The 17,551-nt window shown below is 44.5% G+C and overlaps 1 protein-coding gene across 3 annotated transcripts, besides 1 other annotated feature; it reads right to left on the bottom strand.

Annotated features, from left to right (window-relative positions):
• Positions 1-260: an enhancer, noted in NCBI's record as "active region_24242". NCBI's record gives its function as "activates an Ori minimal core promoter by ATAC-STARR-seq in GM12878 lymphoblastoid cells {active_cell/tissue: GM12878}" and the evidence as "EXISTENCE:reporter gene assay evidence [ECO:0000049][PMID:35858748]".
• Positions 4,411-17,322, bottom strand: BTN3A3 (butyrophilin subfamily 3 member A3). Of its 3 annotated transcripts, NM_006994.5 has the most exons (11): positions 17,178-17,322; positions 14,384-14,444; positions 14,167-14,256; positions 13,522-13,869; positions 11,841-12,122; positions 9,378-9,578; positions 9,189-9,209; positions 9,072-9,098; positions 8,138-8,164; positions 7,693-7,719; positions 4,411-6,151 (listed from the first exon to the last, which is right to left on the bottom strand). In NM_006994.5, exons 3-11 carry the CDS (start codon positions 14,249-14,251, stop codon positions 5,415-5,417), a joined length of 1,755 nt encoding a protein of 584 aa, NP_008925.1. In that variant the 5' UTR covers positions 14,252-14,256; positions 14,384-14,444; positions 17,178-17,322; the 3' UTR covers positions 4,411-5,414. The 3 variants fall into 3 exon arrangements, with proteins under 3 accessions (NP_008925.1, NP_932078.2, NP_001229732.1); NM_197974.3 differs by lacking the exon at positions 9,189-9,209 and having other exon boundaries at positions 14,167-14,185; NM_001242803.2 differs by lacking the exons at positions 9,189-9,209; positions 9,378-9,578; positions 11,841-12,122; positions 14,167-14,256; positions 14,384-14,444.
• Between the last annotated feature and the right edge of the window lie 229 nt (positions 17,323-17,551).

Genomic DNA, 17,551 nt, shown 5'->3' with positions numbered 1-17,551 from the left:
ATCACAAATTTCAAGCAGCAAATAACCTTTTGAGATTATCGGGTCTTTTTATTTCCTTTTTCTTTGTTCGAAAGCAAGACTCTCTCTCTCTCTCTTTCTCTCTCAAGACTCTCTCTCTCTCTCTCGCTTTGAGATTCCTTGGGGAGATTCCCTGGGGTTTGTCACTGAGGTCGGTGGCTTTGCTGGTGTCCACAAGGAGAGGCCTCTCTATGTAGAGGGCAATTTTGCTGGGGAGGAAACATGAGCAGGAAAACGTAAGCCGCCCCCTTTCCAAAGCCAGAGGACTCCTGTTCAAGTTGCTGGCTTTGGAGGTTGGGCCTGGAGCGCAGGAGGGCTTGGGGGAAGCTGGCATGGCTGGAGCGGGAGGGGTAGCAAAGGAAAGGAGACAGCAGTTGCAGTGGCTGTTATGAAGGCCTTGCCATTCATTCCAAAGCTATCGGATAAGAGGTGCTGAGAATCCTGACTGAGGATCAAAAACCTTTTCCCTCAGGGAGGTGGCATTCTGGTGGTGGCAGAAGATGGAATTGAGCAAAACTTTCTAGTTGTCCTTCACCTTCTAGATAGTAGGTGGTCAGGTTGGGTCCAAGAGCCACACACAGACACACACACTAGCACACATACCATCCTCCCGTAAACATCATCCCTCTCCCAAAGGCTCCAATCTTGTAATTGTAAAGATATCTTCCAGAATAATCTTCCCGAGGCCCAGTTGTCAATATTCCCCTCAAGTGTCTAAATGCTTAGTCTGGAGGCCTCCAATTCCCTTCTGATTCAATTCAAAACTTTGCAGTTAATACGCTAGCAATGGCTCCACAGTGGCCTTGCATCACAACGTTGCACTCCCTGTGGCCAGTGCTCCTTTTCCCATGCCATGGCTTTCATTTCAATTGCTTGCTCCATCTCTGCCCCGTGAAATCCTGCCCAGCCTTCGTGCCTACTTCCTCCAAGAACAACTCTGAATGTTCCTGCCTGAAGTGTTCTCGGCCTCTTCTGACACCCAAATCTTTTGCTGTTCCCACGTCCTGTCTTGTATTATTGTTACTCAGGTATCCACTGTGTCTCTGCTGTGACAGGAGTACCTGCTTCTCAGGACAGACTTCTGCAGGATGTGATTCCTCTCACCTTACAGGGCCCAGCTCTAAGCTCTAAGCTCTGCTCTTAGCTGTTGTTCAATGCATGAGTGACATGCTCAGGGTAAGGTCATTCCCACCACATCATGGCCCAGTTCCTGGAGTCATTTGGCACCAGAGTGCGAGAGAGAGGTGCTAGCAGGATTAAGCCACTCTAGGTCAGGATTTCTAGGACTGGAAAGGAGGAACCAGTAGGTTCCTTCTGCAGAGAAAGCTCTTTGATGAGAATAAGCTAAAGAAAGCTCTGAGAACTCTTTTTTCCATTGGACTGACCCTTAAACTGTCTCTTTCTCATACAGTAGTCTCACACGTCACCTGATGTTTCTGGATTATAATTCAAATAAGATTCTGGGTTGAGTGGCTTATGAGGGTAAATACATCAGTATTAGAACTGTATGTATATGAATTCCAAACAGGACTGGGCAGCTGTTGAGAAGAGGCAGAAGAGAAGGATGAAAGGGTCTAACAGCATGGCCAGCCAGGATGAGATCTGACTTTATATTTTTTTACCTGAAGAAATAAGGCCCAGGGCTTTGAAGTAGCCCTTTTGCCAGAAGCATCCAGCTAAGCCAGGCTTCAGCCTCTGCCAAAGTTGATCTGAGCTAGAGGGAAACGTGTGTGTTCTGAGAAGGAAGAGGATCAGTTGACGATGGGGTAGCTTAGAAAGAAATCAGGCTCTACTGGGGTGTGCCCGGTTAGATAGTAACAACCTAACCCAATCATGCTCTGTAGTGGGAGGGATAGAGACAGGAAGGGTCACGTTGGCAAGGTTCTTTATGGACCTGCCAACCCTGGAAGAACCAGGATACAGGGTAAGCATTGATTTCCTTTTGCTTTACAATAAACTACAGTCTGTGAAGGTAATATAGCTGTGTCATCTCCAGCTATGGAGTACTCCCAGGGGAGGCCTAGACATGTTGACATACAGAAAATCCATTCCTACTCTGCCCTGTTCAAATTCTAGATTCCTGACTCACAGAATCACTGAACATATTATAATAGTTGCATAAGCTTCTGAATATTAGGACTACAAGCAATATTAACGAGTACATTTATCTTGCCTCAAAAGAACACATTTTTTCAAAAAGAAGAAATGATACTGGGCTTCTAAAAGAACCAAACGTGAGAAATTTGCCTAAACTCTTTCCATCTTGTAGCCTTCTCTCTGCTCATCTGCTTTGGTCTTCTCTGCAATCCACCATTGTTTAGTCCACACCATGAATGGAGCATTTCTTCCCACAGCTCCCATGCACATCTGCTACAGGAGTAACTAGCCACATGTCACTTGGTCCTCTGGCCTAGCCTGGGTCAGGTGTCCATCCCAGACCCAGTCCATGTGGTGAGGCTGCAGGGCCATGTGATGTGGGCATGTATTGGAAGAGAAGAGGTCACTAATGCTAAATGTGGTACAGCGAGGGCAGAGAGACCTTGAAAGGCATTCACTATATTCTCAGAGGCAGAGCCCTTATAACAGACGCTGTTGATGCCCCATCCCATATTCTCTTGGCCTATCACAGTTTGCCAATAGCTGAGGCACAGTTTTCTGCAAGGATGACAACCTTTCCACCTCCAGTGAGTATCTCCCTTCTCCTTTGCCTGTGAGCTTTATCACACCCGTGATAGTTGCTTTTCTGCAGTTACATAGCCCAATCTTAAAGTGCATTAGAATTAACACTCCCAGGCCAACCTTCAACCAATTCAAGCAAAGGAGGATGGGAAGTGGAGATAAAGTCCCAGGCCCTGTAGTCCTTAGGAAGATTCTGAGCTATATCACACATTTCATATGGTTTCTTAGAGAGTCCTAAAAGGGATTCAGCCAAGTTATCCACATGGTAACTGACTCATGAGTGAACCCTTTATCCCATTTGTCATGTAATTGGCTTTTTTTCATTTCTCAATTTGTTTCTGCACTTGTGTTTCCTGGAATCACTTCCCAAATCAGTGTGGTGAGCTGAATAGTGCTCCCCGCACCCACCCTTTGAGCTATATTCACTATGAAAGTTATGAAAAGAATGTATAACACAGTAAAATGAATTTTACACAGAATTAAGGTTATGGACCTTAAAATAGAGAGATTATTCTAAATTGTCTGGGTGATCTCAGTTTAATCATAGGAGTCTTTAAAAGTAAAAGGCAGACTGAGCGTGGTGGCTCATGCCTATAATCCCAGCACTTTGGGAGACCAAGGTGGGCAGATTGCTTGAGCTCAGGAGTTTGAGACCAGCCTGGGCAACATGGCAAGACCCTGTCTCTACAAGAAAATACCCAGGCATGGTGATGTGGCTCTGTGCTCCCAGCTGCTTGAGAAGCTAAGATGGGTGGATTGCTTGAGCCCAGGGGACAATGTGGTGAGCTGAGATCACGCCACTGCACTTCAGCCTGGGTGACAGAGCGAGTCCTTGTCAAAGAAGAAAAAAAAAAAAAAAAGAAAGGAAGGAAAAAAAGGAGAAGGTAAAAGAATCAGAGAGACACAATGGAGAAAAAGACCTAGGAGATGAGCCTCAATGCGCTGTTGCTGCTTTGAAGATACAGGAAGGGAGCTAGGAGCCAGAGTGTGGCAGCCTCTAGAAGTGGGTACAGCCCTTAGCTAAAAACCAGGGAACAACTGGGACGTCAGTCCTATAAATGAAAGGAACTGATTCTGCCAATAGTCTGAATAAGCAAGGAAACAGATTCTTCCTTAGAGACTCCAGAAAGGAATCCAGCCTGCAGACACCTTGATTCTAGCCTGGTGAGATCCCTGTGGGACTTCTGACTTCTCACCTACAGAACAGTGAGATAATAAATTTGTGTTGCTTTAAGTTCATGAATTTCTGAAGCCAGGCGCGGTGGCTCATACCTGTAATCCCAGCACTTTGGGAGGCCGAGGTGGGTGGATCACAAGGTCAGTAGATCGAGACCATCCTGGACAACATGGTGAAACCTCGTCTGCACTGAAAACACAAAAAATTAGCCAGGCGTGGTGGCACGCACCTGTAGTCCCAGCTACTCGGAAGGCTGAGGCAGGAGAATCACTTCAACCTGGGAGGTGGAGGTTGCAGTGAGCTGAGATCGTGCCACTGTACTCCAGCCTGGGAGTACAGTGGCACAATCCAATCTCAAAAAAAAAAAAATGTCTATACATTTCTGGTAATTCAGATGGCAACAACAGAAAATGCATCCAATAAGGGTCTTGTGAAAATGCTGCAGTGAGGTAAACTGAGACTGTGGTGAGTACAGTGGGTGTGCAGACTACTGTGCTGAGTAGACACCACAGTCTAGAAAAAGCCAAGCTGAGGAGTAAGCATTATTAACACATTTATTGAACAACTAGAACTTGACAACCACTTGCCAAGTAGAGGGGATACAGTGGTGAGCAATAATAGTGATGATAATGAGGAGCAGTTTTCCCTAGCAGGCAGCAGTTGAAAGGAATATGGGTTTAACATCCACCAATGACCAGGAGTGGACAGACCTATTTCCAGGAGACTGAGTCCATAGTGGGATTAAAAACATCCCTGTAATTCTTTTAGCTTCCTTGATCCAAATTTCCTATATCACAGAGAATCTCTAGGGTATTTGCTCTGCCTGGAAACCTTGATTGAAGGAAGGCTGGCTCTGGCTGCACAATCACTTATCACATTTGTTGGGTGGGAACATATCTGTGCCCCATGATTTATCAAGTGTGGCCTCTAGTCTCTTTCCAAGTCACATGTCATGTTGGTACTATGAGGTTATTCTCTCAACCAAGACACTCTGCAGAGCTAATCCAAGGAGTGCTGGGTCTAAGTCTCTGATATCAGCTGGGAAAGAGTCAATAGGGATGTCAACTCCACAAGCACTTAAAATGATCTCTACCCTGCAGCTGTCCTGGGAAGGAAACCTCAGGGCTACATGTGGGCTCTTCCTGTGGGAAAAAAAATCAGGCTGGAAAAGAACAGGCAATTAGCCAGGGACTAAGGCTGAACATCTCCCAACTGCACAAATTACTGTATGAGTTATGTAAGTTACTTCATGTTGCCCTGCCTCAGCTTCCATACTTGCAAAATATGACTACCCGACAGGGTGTTGTGAGGATTAAAGGAGTGACATCCACCAAAGCTTATAACACAGCACTAAGAACATTTTAAATTCTCTGTTAATGTTAGTTATTGCTGTTTAGATCCCAGCTCTGCTGTTCACTTGTCATGTCTACTTTGTAAAGTTAATTCACCTTTCTGCACCCCAGTTTCCTTATCTGTATAAGGGGACAATAAGGTGGTACGAAACTCAAAACAACTGTCATATGGAATAATGGAATGAATATCAGTAAAGTGCTTCAGTGCGTGCCTGTAGCTTATGGTTCTGATTGGTTGTTGCAGAAGGGGAGACCTCAGCTCCAGGGTGGGCAGGGAGAAGCAGAGATGTTACTTCAGCCTGAGGCTCCCCACTTTCATTAGCTAAGCCCGGGGTCAGTGGTGTCTCCAGGGAATGATCAGGCACTAGGTCAGGATCGGGGGAACTCTCTACTTCTTTTGGTATTGGGCAAATGGTCAGGGCAGTGGGCTCCAAGGTCAAAATTCTGAAAACAGGATATAGAGGCTCAGAGAAAGAGGCGTGCGGAAAGGTGTAGATATGAGATCCATCTGTGGCATTATAGAACGAGATCTCTCCAGTCTCATAGTCCAGGAAGATCCCCACTTTCCTAGGAGGCTCAGGAAGTTTCAGGTTGGTTCTGGGCTCAGTGAGAGCCCGATACTTATTCCCATCAGTCAGGCCCATAGTCCAGTATCCGTTCTCCGGTGTCATTTTGACCCAACCTTTTTTCCTCTCCACGTTCTTACTACATACCCCAATATGCCACTCTTTTCTGTCCCCCACTTCCACCTCCCAGTAATGTCTCCCTGATGTGAAGTTTTCACAGCCAAGGACACAGTAACGCCATTCAAATCTCTCAGGGTTGTCTGGCAGATCCCGCGGCTCTTCAGCACGCTGCACACTCCTCTGGTCCTCAGAAACAAGGAGGATGGCGTTTGCCGTGTCTGGATCCAGAATCACATCCGCTGCAGAGAGTTTGAGGAGGTGTCCATGGGGTCAGCCATTTTTCCTGGATTTCAGAGCCTCAGCATGCAAGGCCTGGACCATGCTAAGGAGGTCCTTCCAGAACCTGGCGTCCCTAGCCTGCTCTAAATATGACTCTCTCATCAATGTCATGGGAGAAAGCTCAAGGGGTCTTGTGTCCAGAGGGGAAATGAAAGTAAGGTCAGTATCTGCCTAACCCAATACCCTGATGCTGCCTCAGGAAGCAATAAGGATCCTCTTGCTACATTTTTCTTGTTTCCCTCCCCACATTGACTCTGCCCCCTAATGCCTTATACTCAGAGGTTAATTTTCAATCTTCACTCGACCGCTTATGAACTAAATGAGCTCCCCTTTTCTGCAGTCTATTTTTCCATACATCCAATTTATTTAACAAGGTGGAGCCTCATCTGAAGCATTTTGTCACCTGAAAAATGGGGATAAAAATATGACTCTCTAGCGTAGTATAGGGGAATCATGTTATTTACTCAGCCCACAGCAGGGCATGAAGGAAGCTCCTGATGTTCTAATAGCTGCAAGGCCGTCTCTATGCTGGGCTCTATGAGGGGCCCCAGATTCACTCTCCAGCCTTCAGCTTTTTCCACCCTCTTCTGGGTCCTAGGAATCTGTACTCTAAGGATAGTGCCACTGGGCTCCCTTGTCTTCTGGTTTGCTGTTGGGTTTGGCCAATGGGAGGCCCTGATAGAAGATTGGAAGGAGAAAGAAAGGAGAGACACACTGTTTATTCTCCTGCTTCCTCCCTGCCAGCAGCAGCTGATGCTACTCTAACAAGGCCTGACGACTCTTCTCAGGGAGCCCTCTCTTTTGAGCTACTTTTCTCTGGGTTCCAGTAACTGCCTCCCCTTCCTAGACCTCCCAGGCTAGGAGTGAAGACAGCTCCCCACTGTTGGGAACCATGGGGGCACTGCACTTTTCCTTATTGCTTACCCTTATCCCTCCTTTCCGCAAACCTTTTTCAACCAACCAGTTTGAACTTGTCATCTCTTTCTTACTTGGTTTTTGACCAGTGGATATTTATTATTACTTCAGTCTTCACCTCACCCCCACAAAACACAGATTGCAATTTTCATTTAAAAATGTGGAGGCGAAAGCTCGGAAGCATTAAATCATTTGAGGTGACACAGGCAGTAGGGGGCATGAGAAGCCTGGGAAGTGCAAAGTTCTTTGGGCAGGCATCACCTCCTCTCCTTGGCATTTGCATCCTCACTCTCCCTGCAGTATCACTCAGTGTGTGTCTCCTTCCCCTCAGCTCCACCCTTTATGTGTCTTCCTTCCCAGGAAGGTCTGAGGAAGCCCAAGAGAGCAATTCTCCCTGGTTCCCTGGGCTCTCAGCGGGAAGGGTCTTGGAGATGGGCCCACTTTTCAGATTGGGATTTAATGTTGTCTACCCCAAACTTTCTTAGTCAAGGGAACTTTTCTTCCCTAAATCACAAGAGTTGGAGGAGGAGAAAGGAATATAGTCCCTCAGGTTGTTGATCCAGGGAACATACAGTGATTTACTCACCAGGTTTGAAGAGGGCCATTTTCCATTCTGAAAGGAAGGAGACACAGATAAGAAAAAGGTCAGTATTTTTGTTCTTTTCTCCACTCCATTCTCCTTTCACTACACGTTTTCTCTCCTTTTCTTCAGAGTCTCTTCCAGGCTTCAGCTTCCTTCCTCTACAGCTCTGATAGATCAGAGGTGGCACCTTCTAAACAATGTCAGGCTCGGCTCCCTGTGCCATGGGGGGTGCAGGCTGCATGGTTATGCTTTGCCTGGGCATGTGCAGGGTCAGGAGTCTCTCAGAGGCTCCAGAAAAGCAGAAGTCAACCCCCTACCATGCAAAATTGAGTCTAAGGGTTAGATCTGATTAATCCAACTGAGAACGTCAATGGGTCACAGCAGAGAAAAAGTTGAAATGTTCATTGTACATGACCCAGCAAACCCAGAGAGCATCAGGCTCACTCACCATGATAGGCCAAAGACTTCTCTCCACCTACAATGAAAGAAAGATAGAGGTGTCACCTGAACACTGCCTTTGCTCTGTTGGCCCCTTCCACTTCCTTTCGCATCCATCTAGACTTTCTTTTTGACCATTCCACTCTTCCCTGTGGTCTCACTCTGCAAGCTCAATTCTCTCTTCACCTCTTCTTCTTAATATCAAGTCTGGGAACATTGGTTGAATGCTAGTGGCAGGGCAGTCACTGTGAGAGTTCCTTCCCAGTGGAGTCCAGCTAATCTATTTTGAATCTGTCTATACTCCTGTACCTGGGCATAGGTGTCACCATGTCTATATGTGTATGTCTAGGAGTACAAGATCCACCCTTCTCAATCTGTATCATTTCCTACCTTGCTCTAAAAAGAATTTGGGAAATTTAATGAGCAATTTCAGGGACTAGTTTTTGAAAGCAGTTATGATAAATCTGTACCAACTGAGCCACTGTAGCTATTCCTCTTTATTAGACACACTTGTCTCCCTCTCTCTTTTCTGATTTTCTTATCTCTTAAATCTTCCATTCTTGTTTTCCTTTCAACATCCTCTAGATTATGGAAAACAACAAGTAAGTTTCCTGCCACAGAAAATGCACCTCATCCTTCTCTCTTCCTTTTGAAGTGTACCCCTGGATATTCCTCAGTGCTTTTTAGGGCATAAAGGTCTGTGGCCCCTAGTACAAAGAGATTGAAGACCTCTTTTTCTTTTCTTAGAGAGAGAGATAGACGAGAGAGAGAGACTCCTTCTGGGTGGTTTCTCCAAAGAGCCAAACTTATTTTCTTTTCCTGAGTAAAGGGATCTAGGACCATTTTTCAACCCTGGGCAAAGACTTATGGGCTGGAAAATTTCCAAGCAGAAGAGAGTCATAGATTCAAGATTCAAATTCAGAGAAAATGTCAGAGTCACTCACGAGCCATGTACTGGATTTTCCTCCACTCTGCAATGGAATGAATAGGGAAGGGTTATCAAGGTGCTCAAAGTGGGGATAAGAAGACATGCCTGGGTCTCCTGGGGAATGGGAACTTACTGAGTTCCTCCTGGAGCTTCTCTGGAAAATAAGCAAAAAAAGAAAAGAAAAAAAGAACAGTTATGGGTAAGGGGGGTTTTGGGAAAATAAACCTTAAACTTGATGCAGTGTCAGGGTGGGAATGGGGGTGAGATCTTCAGGCTGGGGCATGCAAGCCAGGGGCTTAGATTCTCTGCTTGCGTTGGATACCTCTTAGGCTTATTTCTTGCTCTGTTGCAGCGTATCCCATTTCTTTCATCTCTCGCTCTCTTTCTGTCTCCCTGGACAGAGCAATTTTTTCCTTCTGTTGTCTCCACAAGAAGTAACTGGCTCCTGCGAGAAGCAGCAACGAGATAGGCAGGGTCCCTGCCAGGGCCGCGATCCAGGGCTGGGCGCTCCTGAAGAAGGGGTCTGCGAAGGGGAGAGCTGTGGGTCATGGGAGCTAGTGCACTCAGCCTCCCCAGCCTCAGCACCCCAAGCTTTAGCTGCTCAGCCCAGGTTGGGGGCATGGAATCCATCTCATGAGGTTAAATAAGCGTTCTGTCCCTAAAGTCTCAGAGGACTGTAGAGAGGACTTTGGTAAACCCTCACTACAAGCTACTACTATTACTATCTTGAGAGGTCTGCCTCTCGTATGGAAATTAACTTCAGCAGAGTCATACTCATTTTTTTCTAAATATTTTTTCAACCAGTAACACATTTACATGGTTCAAAAACTTCATGTACATAAAGTTATGCAACTCTCCCATCTACCTAGTACTCCCTCCCTCCATCTATTAACTTTTCCTTAGTCCACTTAATATGATGCTTAGGGACATAAACTGTGGAGTCAGAGGGCAAGGGTTTAAATGCTGGCTCCCCTATGTGACTAGCAGTGTGATGTTGGACTACTTACATAACCTCTCTGTTTGTAGTGGCCTAATCTATAAAATGAGGGTAATGATAATGCCTATCTCCTGAGGTTAGAAGAATTAAATTAATACTTTAAAAGGGCCTAATGGGCTGCAGTGGGTCATGCCTGTAATCCCAGCACTTTGTGAGGCCGAGGCAGGCAGATCACTTGAGGTCAGGAGGTCGAGACCAGCTTGGCCGACACGGTGAAAACCCATGTTTACTAAAATTACAAAAATTAGCTGGGCATAGTGTCATGTCCCTGTAATCCCAACTACTTGGGAGGCTGAGGCTATAGAATTGCTTCAACCCAGGAAGCGGGGCTTGCAGTGAGCCAAGATTGTGCCACAGCATTCCAGCCTAGGTGACAGAGTGAGACTCTGTCTCTAAATAAGTAAATAAAGTACTTGATGTACAGTGAGTATTACAAAATTGCTTGTTAAATTTTAAAAATGTAAGTTAAATAACAGAATCAAGAACTAAAAAAAGTAAATTAAAATATGTTCCTATTTTTCCTCTTGTTTAAACTAAAAATAACATTCTATACACATCACTCTGCATCTCACTCTTCTGTGTAAAGTGTGTCTTGGAGATCTTTCCATATTAGTGTAGAGAGAATTATCTCTTTTTTCTTTCACAGTTGGGCAGTATTCCCTTGTATGGAAGTTCACCATCAGTGAGCATCTCCATAGCTTCTAACCTTATACAATCATAATCAATGCTATAAGAAACTTTTTATAGGCCGGGCTGGTGACTCACACTTGTAATCCCAGCACCTTGGGAGGCTGAGACAGGCGGATCAATTGGGGTCTGGAGTTTGAAACCAGCCTGGCCAACATGGTGAAACCACATCTCTAGTAAAAATATAAAAATTATCCAGGTGTGGTGGTGCATGCTTGTAATCCCAGCTACTGGGGAGGCTGAGACAGGAGGCTCTCTCGAACCCAGGAGGAGGAGGTTGCAGTGAGCCGAGATTGCGCCATTGCACTCCATCCTGGGCAACAGAGTGAGACTCCCTCTCAAAAAACATACAAACAAACAAACAAAAAAACCCCCAGAAACCTTTTACATGGATCATCTCATACAAATGCAAGCATATCCCAGAACTGGAATTTTGGATCAATAAATATGTAGTTTGGATAGATCCCCCAATAGAGCTTGTGCTAATGCACACCAAAAATACAAGTGACACGAGCAAATGACTGAGAGTCACTGCCTTCCTACACTCCTGCCATAGCCATGTGGTATCAAGCAAGGCAGTGGGGTTTTGATTTTTGCTAATATCATAAGTGAAAAATGATTTCAGATATGTTTCCCTAATGAGTGAGAATGAGCACTCTTTTGTGGGTTATTTCTTTTCCTGTGAATTAACAATTCATGACCTTTGTTAATATTTTTTACTCAGTTTTCAAACTCTTCTGTTTCAAAAAGATTAGCTCTTTCTCTATGAGTTTGTAAATATATATATGTTTTCCCATTTTGTCATTTGACTTTACATAAGGAGCTTCTCTTAATGTTTTTCCCCAATTCCCACTGCCTGTCACACTTTCTGTTTCTGTCAGACAGGAAGTGATCAGTAAATGTTTGTGGCATGAACAGCTTTGTGGCGTGGGGAAGCTCCCCTAAAGCAGTGAGTAGCCTTCAGGTCCCTGCTTTGAGCCTTACATGCATTGTAGAGACCCAGGTTGACCGCAGAGACTCACACAGTAGAGACTCACACATCCCCCTTCATCACCTGCCACAGCTCAGCTCAGTAAAGCTGAGGCCAAGCAGGGTACTGACCTGCGATGGATATGCTGGCTGTCTTTTCCAGGCCGAGGAGGGAATTTCTGATGATGCAGGATACACCCCCACCAGAGCTGCCTCTCATGATCACAGATGCTGCTACTGCATACAGGCCCACTCCATCTGCAACCACAGGTGCTTCCACAGCCGGGATGTTCTCTCCCTTGGTGTCGCTCCACTTTATTTGGGGTTGGGGGTACCAGCCAGTGGACCTGCACTCCAGATGGATCCCTCCATCCTCATAACCCTTCACTTCAATGTGAAGATCAGAACCCAATGCTGTAGAAGGATAAATTGCCCTAAATTCTTGAGAGCTCCTGTATCAGGGAGGGTCTCAATGGGAATCAATGGCAGACTCACATTTGATAATCCAAGGAAGATTTCATTCAGGAGCTATTTACACAAGTGTGGTCATGATGAAAAGAAAACTAAATGGGCTAGTGCAGTATCCCAGGGTCAGTAATGTGGGGCTATTCCCATCCACCCCAATTACCAGAGGGAGGAGGAGAGGGATCTGTTCCGGAGACATAAAAAGATTGATGCATTGAGGACTTTCTTGAGTTGACTTGTGACCTTCAGCAAGGCAATGCAGCCAGCCTGAGGGAATCTTGCAGGAAGGAAGCCAGGGAATAAGCACCCAGACCTCTCCCTTTTCTCTTCTTCCTACCATTGTCTGCTACAGCTCCCCTTAAACCAAACCCAACCAGAAGCCATGAGGCAAGGGATTGCACTGAGAAAGAAAAAAGCTCTCCTCGGCGTCTGGAACCTGATACCAGGTCTTGGTATCCTCCTGTTGAACATAAGTAATTTCACAGAACACAAAAAATAGTACTTTATCACTGTGACAGATCATGGGAAATACAAGACCACCCCAATCTTTTGTGAGTGCAGAGAAAAACATGAACATTGTACAAACCACAACAATAACCAAACATCCCCCATCAGCAATGAGGAATTGCTGCCTCTTCATCATTTACAGCTTTAGTCTCACCCTAGTCTCCTTCCTCCTAGATAAGCTTGATTAAGGCTCCCACTCTCAGAATTCATCTCCCCACACCTTCCTGACAGTATCTCATCCAGAGAAGAGAGCTAAGTCTATAAACCCTCCCCCAAATCCCCTAACACAAGCCCAAATTGTAAAATAAATCTGCTCTAAAACCTTACTGAGACCTCGCCACAGCTCCCCATGATGTGTGTTCTTCCTCAAAGCAACAAGTAAGAAACATGCCTCATTATACTACAAAAATGTTTCTGGGAGTCACTGATTGGAAAACACTGGCAGCAGATACAGTCACCATTCCACCTCCCAGGACCCACGGTAACGTGCACTTGGAGACACAACAGAAGCCGTCTGTTACATGACTAAACCAAAATGACTGTGTACCAGTCACTAAAGAGATGATTTCTAATGTTTCCTATCCGTCGTCCTTCATTTCCCTTATATCTCTGGTTGTCAGAGGGAGGGAGTTGTTTACTTCGGCATGTAAGGTACAGCAGGAATTCTTTCTAAAGAAAGAATGTGTCTTTCTTAAGGGTTGCAGAGAAGCTAAGTTGGGAGGCAGTGCAGACAATTGCTAGTGAGCAGCCAGGAGTGTCTGCAGTACTTTTGGAAGAGGGACTCTGCATCTGCTCTAGATCCTACAGAGAAGTGTTCTCAGAACAAAACCTGGAGGCTCACCTGCAACCTTCAGCTCCACCAGGGCTTTTTCGTAGAAGTCACCATCTTGGAAATAACACAAGTACTTTCCACTGTCAGAGGCTGTGACGTTGTGTATTCGGAGAGCAGCCTTCCCTGCAGTGATGCCATCCCGCAGAATCGAAGTTCTCCCTCGATACGGTGCACTCTGCCTGTCTTCCACTTCCTTTCCATCTGCATACACGTTCACCACCTGCCTTAGGCTGGAACTCACCCACCTCAGCTCCATGGTCTCTGCACTCATGGTCGGGAACAGGTGACAGGGCAGATCAGCGTCTTCACCCACCATGGCCAGGATGGGCCCAGAGGGTCCAAGCACAGAAAACTGAGCTGTCAGCACAAGGGGGAAGCTCCATCAGAGGGTTTTGGAGTTGGGGTCACGAGAGGAAGGGTCCTTCTCAGACAGGGAAGGCGAGATACAGAGAACCTAGAGGGGAACACAATCCTAACAGAAGGACCATTTGTCTCTTTGTGACAGGTGGTCCTTCAGGTTGGGATGGACTTCCAGGTATGGGAATGAGTTAAAGGTTCTAAGAGGGCATTTAGGTAATTGTCTGCTTAATTAGGTAATTGAGATAATTGTCTGCTTCAGAAACATAAATGTGGAATCATGGAATCATTCCCTACCTGAGCAAGGAGTGAGCAGCTGGACCAAGAAGAGGGAGACATGAAAGTTGAGCAGAAGGAAAGCCAGGGAACTTGCCATTTTCATCTATGCTGCATATCAAGAGATACCAGAAGGTGTGGGACAGACACTATGGCCTGGAAGAAGCTTTAGGCTTCTGCATGGAAATGTCCACTTCCCCAGGGCTAACTCAAGTATGGTGACCAAAGAAGATCTTACCTCTGCCAAAAATGTCTGTCCTTGAGTGTCTTTACCTTTGGGTTCCAGTATGGAAAACCATCTGTAAAAATAATATCTGTTATCTGATCAGGACATCTCTGACTCTACTGCATTAAAATATTAAAATATTCATAATCCTATCACTTCCCCACACTTCCCTTGCCAGGTCCAAGCTTCCATCATCCCCCTCTGATTCATGAAGGACCCTCTTCACTGGATTCCCTGGTCCCACCCTTGTTCAGCTCTGTGGGTGTCCAACACTGTGGACTCCTCAAGCATCAAACTCTTGGCCATTACTACAGTCAACTTATGGCCTGGTGGCTCCTGGTGGGATCCAGGCAGACTGCCTGGCAGAGGCTCTGAAGTCAGTCAGGGGCTGAACCCACCACGTTTAATCACAAAGATATTGATTAGGAGAGCTTTGAATAAGACCAGGCCTTACTCATCTTTTCTTTCTTCCCTTCATAAAGTCATTCAACAAGTATTTACTGAGCACCCACAATGGGTGAGGCCTACTATATTAGTGTTAAGGACATAAAGAAGGTAAGCAATAGGTAAAGGCTCTAAGATTCACAAGCTGTGTGATCTTGTTCATGGGACAAAACCATTGGAACTTTATTGATTCATACAATATCATGAAGTGTGAAATTTCGAATGTGCACAATTGGGTCCAGCAATTCCACTTTCTGATGTCTAGTCTAGCAAAGTACTTGCATGAGTGCAGAGAGAAGCCTCTGTGAGAATGACACTGCAGCACTGTTTTTAAAGTATAAAAGTGGTAACCGACTGAACCAGCCACCCAACAGGAGACTGTTTAGAGGAACTACGGCTCATCCCTCAGAGGGAATTCAATGCAGCAGGTAAAAAGAGTTGATTTATTGTCATGAACCTAGATAATGGTGATACACTAAGCGGTCAAAAAGCATGTTGCAGAACTACACTAATGATTCAACTGAAAAACAAAAACAAAGCTATACATTTCTGCATATTTATAGATGTAAACGCCTGAAAAAGTCTAAAAAGATGCATGCTAAACTGAAGATCGGAAGTTAAGTGAGCAAAAGAACACGTTGGCCTTTTGCTCCCTTTACTTTTAAAATATTGAAATGCTTTAAATTTAAGATTTTTCATGTATTACTTAACAGTAATTATTATGAGTGATAATACTGACTGGAACATATAAGCTGCTCAGTAAATACTAACTCCTCAACAGTTTCTTCCAAAGCAAAGGAGCATGAGGCCTGCAGCCACAACACCCGCTGCTGTAGCTACCTGAGTCTGGGAATGGCCTCTGAGAACAAGGTCTGCAGAGGGAGGTGGGGAGGGATGAAGAGAAAGCACCGGAACAGAGGTCTGTGCAGCCGGCCATCCTCCACCCTCGCCTGGATCTTGCACTGACCCAGACTAAATATTGCATTTCACATCTTCTGTTCCTCAAAACTTCTCTTTATGTTGCTATAGAAGGGGTATCATTTTTATTATCACTGGTTTCAAAGTTAACAATTTCTCTGCTCTGCTTAGAGTGAGACATATGTTTTCATTCTTTTTAAAGGATGTTTATATTTTCTTCCTGATTATAGTCAATATTGCAAATGAAGAAAAGCATAAAGGAATAAAAGTTCAGTGGCTCATGCCTGCAATCTTAGCAATTTGGATGGTCAAGGTGGGAGGATTCCTTGAGCCCAGGGGTTTAAAACAGCCTGGGTAACATAATGAGACCCCCATTTCTACAAATTAGTCAATCAATAAAATTAAAACTCTGTAGTAGTAATCATATACTTTGGTAGTAGAAATATAAATATTTCTCAAAGCATTTTGGTCATATATACAGCAAGCATCTTTAAAAAGTTACATGCTCTACCAAGGAAATGCTATTAAAAAAAAAAGTTGTATGCTTTACCCAAAAGTTCCACTTATAGGAATTATTGTTGAGGCAAAAAAAAAAGACAGAAATTAAGACAAAAATTTATGTCTGAGGTTGTTAAATATAATAAAATCTATACAGTAGCCAAATGTAGATAATTGAAATAGCCAAAATTAGTAAAGTATTACAAAATAATTATATATTCACACAATGAAATAGATTGTGTCCATTGAAACACATATATTGGGTTATGAGGAAATGATTAATGGAAGGAAAAACAGATACTGTACCTAAAACATACAAAACAAGGTTTAATGTATGGATCTAATGCTGTTAAAATGAGAAATAATTGCCCTTCATTAAAAACATGATGCCTAAAAGCTGCATAGAAATCTCTTTTATGATAGAGCCACGCACTGTTTGTCTACCCCCTGCCTGTTGTATGTGTATGCTGGTTCAGATTTTTCTATATTATAAGTATTTCTGTAATGAACAAATTTACATATGAATCTATAAGGCACATCTCTTTCTAGAATCTCTTAGAATAGATGGCTTGTGTTGGCCAAAACAGATTTTAGCGACTTTTTTGCCCTTTTCTGACCACAATAAGTTCTTAAGAACATGCAGTTGGAATATTTCTTCATTTATGTTGTCTCCCTCTCCTTCCACCAAATCCCAATATCTGCAGGTCTTTATTCTTTGCACTACTTGCCTCTTCTCCATGTGCCCACATGTGTGCATGGGTGCCCATGCGCACACACGCACACACACACACACACACACACACACACACACACACACACACAGAGGCACTGCACCCCTTTCCCTGGGCAAGTACTCTCCCTGCATGCCCACTCACCACTCTCAGCGATTCAGCTCTTGTCCTCCCAGGCATTGTAGCCCAGGCTCTAATCAACATTCCCCACTTACTTCTTAGTATTCCCCTCTGAAAATCACAGCCCACTGAAGAATGGTGGTTAATAGTTCTCCATTCTTTCTATTATGGTTGAGTCTCTCATTCCGAAGAAAGGAAAAAGAAAGCAGAGGCTATCTGGTTATTGTGAGGAATAATAACAATCTCTTTTTGGAAGAATTAGTTTTTTGATTGGCTCAGAGGTGATGTTTCTCATCAGTTGCTGGGAGGAAACCACTGAGGAGGGTTGAAATGAAAAGTGAAAGTACATTGAATTGTACACGTTGCAGAAAAATTCCAGCCGTACCTCCCTTAGTGTTTGTGTTTCTGTGTTTATCTATTTGAATCATTATTGCGTGTCCATGTATATAAGTATTTCTACATATTTACT

Source organism: Homo sapiens, chromosome 6 (genome assembly GCF_000001405.40).
Source record: "Homo sapiens chromosome 6, GRCh38.p14 Primary Assembly".
In the NCBI taxonomy this organism is placed as follows: domain Eukaryota; kingdom Metazoa; phylum Chordata; class Mammalia; order Primates; family Hominidae; genus Homo; species Homo sapiens.
Note: the sequence above shows the minus strand (reverse complement) of the source record. Positions and strands in the feature narration are given on the sequence as shown.

Bases quoted from the DNA above. Each gene is read 5' to 3' on its own strand.
- BTN3A3 (NM_006994.5), bottom strand. From the start codon at position 14,251: ATGAAAATGGCAAGTTCCCTGGCTTTCCTTCTGCTCAACTTTCATGTC. The intron at 12,123-13,521 runs GTGAGCCTCCAG...ATCCTTCTACAG, and splicing joins GGTGGAGCTGAAGGTTGCAG to CATTGGGTTCTGATCTTCAC. The intron at 8,165-9,071 runs GTGAGTGACTCT...CTTTCATTGTAG, and splicing joins GAAAATCCAGTACATGGCTC to GTGGAGAGAAGTCTTTGGCC.